General features: G+C 39.9%; 1 long non-coding RNA gene across 1 annotated transcript; it reads left to right on the forward strand.

Moving 5' to 3' along the window:
• On the forward strand, window positions 159-6544 carry LOC105377399 (uncharacterized). The gene is made up of 2 exons (XR_001741804.2): window positions 159-550; window positions 3991-6544. It is a non-coding gene; the product is annotated as an uncharacterized LOC105377399 (long non-coding RNA).
• The last annotated feature ends 3076 nt before the right edge of the window (window positions 6545-9620 follow it).

A 9620-nucleotide genomic window follows, 5' to 3' on the forward strand; every position in this document is an offset into this window, starting at 1 on the left:
CGGCTCAGCCCCTCCTCGTCCCGGGTCGGGCTCGGCCCGGATCCGTTCCTGCCATTCCTGCTGCGGGGGCGCGGGGGGCGCGGGCCTGGGCGCTGCGGGCGCCGGGACGCCGCTCGCTGATTGGCCCGAAGTTGGCGGCTCTGACCCGCGCCCGGGCGCGAAGCCCGGAGCAGGGCTGACCCCAGGGCCTCAAACCCGGAGGCCCGCGAGCTGCGCGGGCCGTCAGCACCCCTAGCCCCGGCGCGGCGGCGTGCGTTCCCGCCTTTGTCCAGCTCTGGGTTTTCAAACCTTGCCCCGCTGAACCATTACTCCCTGTAGGGGAGTCTCGCTTGCTTCTCTTCAGATGCAAAACGAAATGGACCTTCACACAGCTGGGGCATCCTCCAAAACAACTTTATCAAGTTCCTGACTCTGAAAGCCAGCTTATTGCCGACTACTGAGAACGAACCCTGCGGTCTAGGAAATTTCCGTGCTTCTCACATTTGAGTTATGCGTCTTTGCTTTTTTTCACGTTTGTTGCAGAGGCTAGAACTTAATAAGGGATCGCAAAGTATGTTGATTAACGTACGGAAAAATATGTTGCAAACAATTTAATGTTTTAAGCACTAGAAACTAGATATTTTATGGTAACATAACCTCTGGGAAGTTCTTATACTTCTCAAGGTACAATATTCCTGAGACCTCCCTTGCTTGATAATCATTAGACGTATTACGGATTTTCAGACATACGGAAGTGGATTTGTGGGAGACAGGAGGGGACACCCAAACAATAGCATCTGGTGTCACAACAATGCAATAAAGTCACAAGTCTTGTTTTAGTGTTTTTAATAAGCTGTTAGGCTGTGCAGTGTGCCCAGGACCTTTAAAAGCCTGTTTCATCCTTCAAAGTGATCCTGGGGTCATCTACTCATTTCTCTTGATATTTATGGTAATTTTCTACTCTAGGGTCTTTTCTCGGAAACCATTTGATGTTCTTAATTGATGTTCTCATAAACCATTAAAAGCACACACAAAAGTTTGACAAAATTACAGACTACACACACACACCATGGAAACGATTCCTGTTTCTGCAGGAAACCCTTGGAACATAGTTCCTAAGCAGATTTTTTTTTTTTTTTTTTTTTGACAGGGTCTAGCTATGTCTCCCAGGTTGATCTTGAACTCCTGGGCTTAAGGGATCCTCCGGCGGCGTTGGCCTCCTGAAGTGCTGGGATTACACACTTGAGCTACCACACCCGGCCCCTATGTAGATTTTGATTCAAGTTTGGAAAAAGGTTTAAAAAACAAGAACAAAAGGCATTATGGGAAAAAAAAATCATGTAGTGGCAATATTCGGAGACTTTAAGGAACACAGTAAATGATGACATGATCCTCTTTCTAAGAAATGTAAGTTTAGCTTTCACAGCAGGGAGAGGAACACTTAGCCACTCTGTGAGTTTTGATACCTTTGACTTCCCATGGAAGATCTCTAACTTCTCTAGGGGAAAATAAATCAATAAAAACAAAAACTCTCTTTTGGGGGAATTGGGAGTTCCATGGCCTTGAAAAATAGTAGGTGTTCATTAAATATGTCTTGAATGAAAGTCACTTCTGAGGCTGATCTGAGATGTTCAAAAATTCTATGGTGAGCCTAGAATTTACTTGACTTTTTGTTGTGCTTCACAAGGAACTGGACTAAGTAGGTTTTCCAGGGTTCCTTAGAACCAGGGCTGAAACCATGCCAGACCAGATCCACTGGGCCCACAGTCCAGAAGGTGGGGCCCTGGCATTTTCCTGGAGCATTCAGCTCTTTGTCAAACACAGGCTTCCAGCCACCCTTAAGCCATCCAGGGCTCTCAGTCAAATGCTCTGCCACTGTCTCTTTGGGCACGAGAATTTCCACAGCTTTTGATCGCTGGAGAGGAAAACGTTTTTTGGTTTTAGTCTGAAACAATCCTTATTTAGGGATCCTTATTTAGGCATATCTCTCAAATATTTGGTTGCATGCTGTCTTTCTGGGGAGCAAGGCTGCAGCCTTGAGAATGCCCCTCTCTGAATGTAGGCTTCTTTACTAATTAGAAAATGGTGAAAGTATATAAATAAAATTTTAAAGATAAATCTGAAATCAATAAGATGAGAAACTTTCCAGATATTTTATGAAGCTTGGTCAGATATTTTTGTTACAATTGACACATTCAGTGTATTTCATTAAAGCATGCAATGTTCTTTTTTATCTATTTAATGGAGTGTTCTGAAGATCTACTAACTAAAACATAGGAACTAGCAATAAAAAGTTCTTAATAATAAGTTCCATTACAACACACAAAAAGGATACATGTTTGCCAAATCAAAATGCACAGTATTGACCGGATATTTGATTTTGAAGCCTGTAAGACAGTGATAGTACAATGAGTCATTTCTTAAAACTTTAAAAGCTAGAAAGCGACCTTTCAATATTATCTTTGAAAAACGGGAAATTAAAAGTCTGCTTTATATCAGGAGTTTAAATCCAGTCTTTAAAAAATAAATAACAAAATCAAAAAAATTGATATTAAAGTACTACCATGCACCTGATTTACTTATTCTAGAAAATATTGCACTGTCTTGACAAACAAGAAATTATTCAAAATACATTGTTCCTTACTTTCAGATTTGCTTTTGGAGGAATCTTTTTCATTGATATGTCTAAAGCAAGCTCTAGTTATTGCATTTAAACGTATGTACTTGAGTGGGCCTTGTTTTTAGGGAAGACTTGAATTATGACTGTATATTAATTAATTATTTTACCATACTGTCAGTATTTATACATACTGTCGAACTCTTTTAATTGTGCCTTGGTTATTGATGACTGATTCCAAGCACCATGGTAGACTAAAAGCCTGATTGATAGAAAAAAAATAATAATAACCTGAAACATATTTGTCTTCAGTTATCAGAGAACCAGAGGGCTTTTGTAATAATTGAATATAAAACCAAGTTTCCAGAGCAGAAAAGAATAAAGATTTAGTTGGTGTGATTAAAAAAAAAAAGTTTGTTAAAATAAAATGGAGAGTAACGGTGTCAGATTCTTGCTCTTAAAACATCTATCCTCAGCATTGATTCTACAATAGCAACAGCACCATGAAAAGATGTCCCTGAAACCTAAAAAAGTGTGAACACTAAATTTTTCTTAATGTCTTGAGTTTTGGAAAGGTACCATACACTTGTATGTGGTACCAAAAAAGAATCATAAATTTTAACTAGAAGAAAACTGAAGGTTGTTGTGACTAAATTGAGTAACATTATGCTACAGTTTGGATGTGTCCCTCAAAAGTTAACGTGTAGGAAATTTAATTCCCAAAGCAACAGTGTTGGGAGGCAAGGCCTAACAAGAGGTAATTGGTCATGAAGGCAGAGCCGTCGTGAATGAATTAATGTCATTACCACAGGAGAGCGTTAGTTATCTAGAAAGTGGGTTGTTATAAAAGCAAGCTTAACCCCATTTCCTCTCTGTGTCTCTAGAGCTTGCTTCTGTCTTCTGTCCTTCTGCCAAGAAATAACCCTTGCCAGATGCCAGTGGTAGGCTCTTGAACTTCCCAGACACCAGAACCATGAGCCAAATAATTTTTTTCTTTTTTTCAAGACTAGAAACTAGGTCTTGCTCGGTCTGCAGGCTGGAGTGCAGTGGTATGATCATAGCTCTCTGCAGCCTCCAACTCCTGGCTTCACAATCCTCCAGCCTCAGTCTTCCAAGTAGCTGGGACTATAGGTGCATATGACTGTGCTCAGCTAATTATCTTATTTTATTTTATTTTATTTTATTTTATTTTATTTTATTTTATTTTATTTTATTTATTTCATTGGTATAGATGGAGTCTCACTTTGTTTCCCAGGCTGGTCTCAAACGCCTGGCTTTGAGTGATCCTCCAGTCTCAGCCTTCCAAAGTTCTGGGATTATAAGCATGAGTCACCATGCCTGGCCCCAAATTTCTTTTCTTTATAATTTAACCAATCTGTGGTATTCTGTTATAGGAGAAGAGAACAGACTAAGACAGAAAATTGGGACCAAGAAGTGGAGTTATTTCTGTTACAAATACTTGAAATTGTGCAAGCAGCTTTGGAATTCGGTAATGAGTAGAGGCTACAAGAATTTGGAGGAGCAAGCAAGAAAAGGTACATATTGCCATGAACAGACCATGAAGGACAATTCTGATGAAGGCTTAGAAAAAGATCCCAGAATTAGGAAAGTCTAAATCTTCCTAAAAATGTTGAGAAAAATATAGACAGTAACAGTCATTCTGACAAGTTCCAGACAAAAATGGGGAACAAGGTATTGGAAACTGGAATAAAGACCATTCTTGTTATAAGATAGCAAAGACCTTGGCTGAATTATGCCTATATCCTAAGACTTTATGGAATGCAGAACTTAAAAGTGATGAACTTGGATATATGGTGGAAGAAATATCAAAGCAGTGAGCCATTCAGACTTCTGTCTGGCTACTTTTAACTACATGCAGTGAGATATGAGAGCAAAGGTATTAACTAATTTAAAGGGAAGCAGAGTGAAAAGATTTGGAAAATTTGCATCTTGGCCAGATAAAAACTGAAAAGCCTGTTCAGGAGAGAACACTAAGGGTGTGGATGGTGACCATTTGTTAAAGAGGTTAATATGAATAAAGGGAGCCAGGTGCTACTCATCAAGACAATGGGAAAAGATCCTGCAAGCATTTCAGAGATCTTCCAGGCTAACCCTGCCAACACAGATCCAATGCTGTAGGAGGGCAGAATGGTTTTGAGCAATGGGCCCTGAGTGCCCTCCATGGGCTTGCCACCCAGAGCCACCTCACGTCTCTGCTCCACCCATTTCATTACAGTGCTCCTCAGACACCCTAGGTGTGACTTGACCTGTCACTCCAGAAGATTCAAGTGGCAAATCTTAGTGGCATCCACATGATGTTAAGTCTGCAGGTGTCCAGAATGCAAGAGCTGTAGGGGCATGATTTTCTCCATCTAGATTTCAAAGGATGTTGCATACGGCCTTTGGAGACCCAGACAGAGACTTGTCACAGGGCAGATCTGCCAAAGAGAGCCCCCACCAGGGCAATGCCTAATGAAGCTGTGGAAGTGGGACTGCCACCAAGACCCCAGAACTACAGAGCCAACAGCATACATCATCAACCCAAGAGAGCTGAGTCATGGGCTGAGCCCAGCAAAGCTGTGGGGCTGTGGCTAACCAAGGCCATGGTGGCCCAATCCCTACATCAGTGTGCTCAGGATGTGGGATATAGAGTCAAAGGAGATTGTTCTCTGGCTTTATGACATAATGCTCTCTGTTGGGTTTTGGGCTTACTTGGGACCTCTTATTTCTTCTTGCCTATTTATCCCTTTTGGAATGAGAATTTCTGTCTAATGCCTGTCTCACCATTGTATTTTGGAAATAGATTTTACAGGCCCACATCTGGAAGGAATTTGCCTCAAGGTGAATCATGCTGTAAGTCTCATCCATATCTGATTTAGATGAGACTTTGGACTTTAGATTTTTGAGTTACTGCTGGAATTAGTTAAGGCTTTGGGGGCCACTGGGATGGAATGAATGTATTTTGCACTGTGAAAAGTATATATATTTGGGGGGCCATGGGTGGAATGCTATGGTTTGAATATTTCATGTGTTGGAAAGTTAATTTTCAACGCAACAGTGTTGGCAGGTGGGGCCTAATAAGAGGTTAATTGGGCCATGAGGGCAGACCCCTCATGAATGGATTAATGTCATTATCCTAGTAATGGGATACTTTTTCTGAGGGTAAATTATTATAAAAGTGAGTTTGGCCAATTTGCTGTCTGTCTCACATGCTTGCTTCCACCTTCTACCCTTCTACCATGGGAGGACCCTCACCAGATGCCAGTGCAATGCTTAAACTTCCCAGCTTCCAGAATTGTGAACCGAATGAAATTATTTTCATTATAAATTACCCAGGTTACAGCAACAAAACATGAACTAAGACACATTATAAAAAGAAAAGCTGAAGGATAAATTAGTAGTCATCTCACCCAACAGGCAGTGCTATTCTTGGAGCAGAGTATGGAAAATTAACAGAAAGCCAAAGAAACGTGAAAGAAACCAAGGTTAAGGTTCCAGGTACTGAGTGTCTAGTACATGCCAGAAAGCAGACTAGGTTCTTTATATCTACTATCTTAAAGCCCTAGCAGCCTTACCAAAGTTCCTACAAGAAGAAAGTGGAAGCTTCCTTTGGTGGAGCCTATACGACAGCTTTGGTGAAGCATATACTCAGCAGGGATTCTGGAAGAAGGTTGTGGTCAGCTGAGAAGTTCCCATGAGATAAGTGCTATCCAATAGAACAAAAACGCCTTAAATATATGTACAGTTGACCTTTGAACAACACAGGGGTTACAGATGCCAACGCCGATGCAGTGAAAAATCTGAGTATAACTTTTGACTCTTCAAAACACAATTACTAATAGCCTACTGTTGACCAGAAGCCTTATTAGAAACAATTAACACATACTTTGTATGTTATACATGTTATATATTGAATTATTACAATAAAGTAAGATGGAGAAAAGAAAATGTTATTAAGAAAATCATAAGGAAGAGAAAACATATTTCCATTGGAAGTGGATCATCATAAAGCTCTTCATTTTCATTGCCTTCACATTGGGTAGGCTGAGGAGAAGGAAGAGAAGGGGTTGGTCTTGCTGTCTCAGGGGTGGTAGGAGTGGAAGAAATTCCATGTATATGGACCTATGCAATTCAAACTCATGTTTTTCAAGGATCAACTGTGTGTGTGTGAGAGAGAGAGAGAGAGAGAAAGAGAGAGAGAGAGAGATAGGGAGTGCCTTTAATATCAGCTTCCAATGAGCCAACTTCTGACTATAGAGCCCTAAAAAATACATACTTTCAAATCCTATTGTAAGGTTTCAGCTGGGACAAATAGCAAATATTTCTAGAAGTATTGAACTCCTTTTTTTTGTCTTTTTTTTAATAAACAAAAGGTATCTCTCAGATGACTCAGAACTGAAACCAATAAGCCTTTTATGACTTAATCATGGACGCCAAAGATGTCCTCAAAATAAGATGCAAAAAGATATAACCCTCCCATGATCCAGAACCATTCTCAAAGATAGCCAAAAGAAACAGAGACACATATAACACCCCCACACCCAAGAGCTATCAATAATCAGTATATTAACCAAAAAGGGATGCAATCCACATTTCTGCCTGGCCATATTCTTGGGGCCTCCATCCTGAAGTTGGCTGCCTGCAATGCAAAACCAATAACTCATGCACCTCTGACAGCCAGAAAGTCAAGCCAAGTTTTCAGAGGAAAAAAAAAAACAAGACAAAAAGGAAAGCAATAGCTGTTTCTGAAGAGAAAAGATCAGTAACTAATGGGTACCCCAATCCAAATTTAACCAGAGTCATTATCTCACTATCCAAACAAGTAATTCATCTGCTAATCTAAATTTGGAAAGGAAGGAACGAGGAGAAATTTCTACCTTCATCTCTCAACTAGGCATTTCAGATAGAGATCTGAGAGAGGTGACCCTGGTAAGAATTCTTACCTCTCTCCAGCACTTGTCATTTTTCCCAGGATCTCACCTGCAATCTCCAGAACCAGTGGGGTATCCCGGCCATCTCCTTCTGGCCACCAGAAACTGGGGAATGAAAAATTATTTGTTCCTTGCTCATCCCTGAGGCCCCATAACAAAAGACCAATTATTAAAAAAGACAGACAAGTTTATTTAATAACTTTTATGTGACACAGGAGCCTTCATAAAGAAATGACTCAAAGAAGCAGGTAAACTTGCGTGTTTTTTATGCTAGATTTGATGAAGAAGTGGACAGTTGTGGAGAAATAAAATTGGACGAAAGGGGTATGAGCTAACAGTGATAAACTTGGGGACTTAGCAAGGCCTGTGCGTTCAGATTCTTCTCTGTGTCCATGTGTCTTCAGAGATAAGGATGTTCTTTTCCTCTAGATATAGGGAGGGTACCTCTGAAATGAGGGTCTTATAATCTTTTTCCAGGGAAGATTAGAGAACTCCTAAGTTTCATGACCTGCTTCAAGAGAGAAGGGTGAAGGAAGGTCAAAGAATGACCTTGTTTGTGCAGTTTCCTCAAATACCCAAGTGCCACGTTTTGGGGTTGTACGTCCTGGATTTCATCACCTGTAAAGTAATTTCATAAGCCTCATTTTACACACAAGGAAACTAAATCTTAGAGAGACTATTAACCTTGTTAGTCAATTTCATATATTCACGAAGTGGTAGGGATGATTCAAGCCCAGGACTGGCTGATTTCAACATCCTGAGCCCTTGATTCTATATCCTGCCTACTTTGTCCTGACCACTTTCCGGTTATACTTCCCATGGGGCTTAGCAGTGGCTCTAGGACAGGTAGAACTTTCCATTTCTCTGTCTCTCCCCATTTCCCTCCGACTCCCCCTCCCATTTTTCCTCTACAAATTGGCAGAAAATTTGATTGGCCAAGCTCTTTGTTTTTGTCAGTACAAACAATAAACAGTAAAAAACAATAAAATGGTTGCTCTGTGGTCAGTTCAACTTTGGTCTAGTCAACTGTGTCTAAGAGAAGACAGTTTCTCCAGGGACATATCTTCATCTGGGAGGGGCTCTAAGGTAGGACCTGCCTTTCCAGAAAGTTTCTCTTACTCTAGCAGCTATTTTGTGGCTTGACCTATTTATAACCACAGCCTAGCTCATCCACAAATTTTTACTTCACAGAAATGATAACATTAAAAGACATCAGTAATTAATGAAAAAGCAATACCAAATATTTGTCAGAACCTCCCAATTTGTTCCACTTGTTTTTCTTTGCACTTATTGAAACAAAATGGCAACTTCAAAGCTAAAGTATTTTAAAAACAGACGGCAGAGTGAGGAGGACTCTTATTAGTTTAAGTGATCATTTTCTATAAACTCTCTGAAATTATGTAGACAAAGTAATAATAATGATATAATACTAATTACTTAGCATAACAGTAAAAACCATCTTTTTTTTTTAATTATACTTTAAGTTTTAGGGTACATGTGTACATTGTGCAGGTTAGTTACATATGTATACATGTGCCATGCTGGTGCGCTGCACTCACTAACTCGTCATCTTTTTCCTTAGAAAATGATGTTTCAAATAAACATTACAGTTGAGTGCTGATGGATTGGTGACCTCTCAATAAAACGGGGCACTCACACCACAAAGACCAATTATCCCCTACTGAATTAGGATCACATAAGACCTTCTCTCTGCCAACTGTTTATTTCTTCTTTTGCTTGGCAGCTTGAAGTTTCAGGTAGTATTTTATCATCAGAAAGGTAAGTTTCTAACTCCATCCTGTTACACTGAGTGGGAAATCATGGTAAATTAACCTTGTTTGAAGATCATTAATTTTAGAATTCCTCCCTGTAGTTTCCAATTGTAACTGGACACCATATTAATATGTCTTTACATATGAATCAATAATTTTTTAACTTGATTTCTTCCAGAAGTTCAAAACAGTATTTATTGACATTGGTTTTCTGTGTTTTTAAAAGGTTTTTTTTTAAAAAAATTGGGCAACAGTAGAGTAATGTCACTTATTTCTACACAGCAGCAAAATTTTCTATTGCTGAAACAGGTCTGTAGATTT

Source organism: Homo sapiens, chromosome 4 (genome assembly GCF_000001405.40).
Source record: "Homo sapiens chromosome 4, GRCh38.p14 Primary Assembly".
Lineage (NCBI taxonomy): Eukaryota > Metazoa > Chordata > Mammalia > Primates > Hominidae > Homo > Homo sapiens.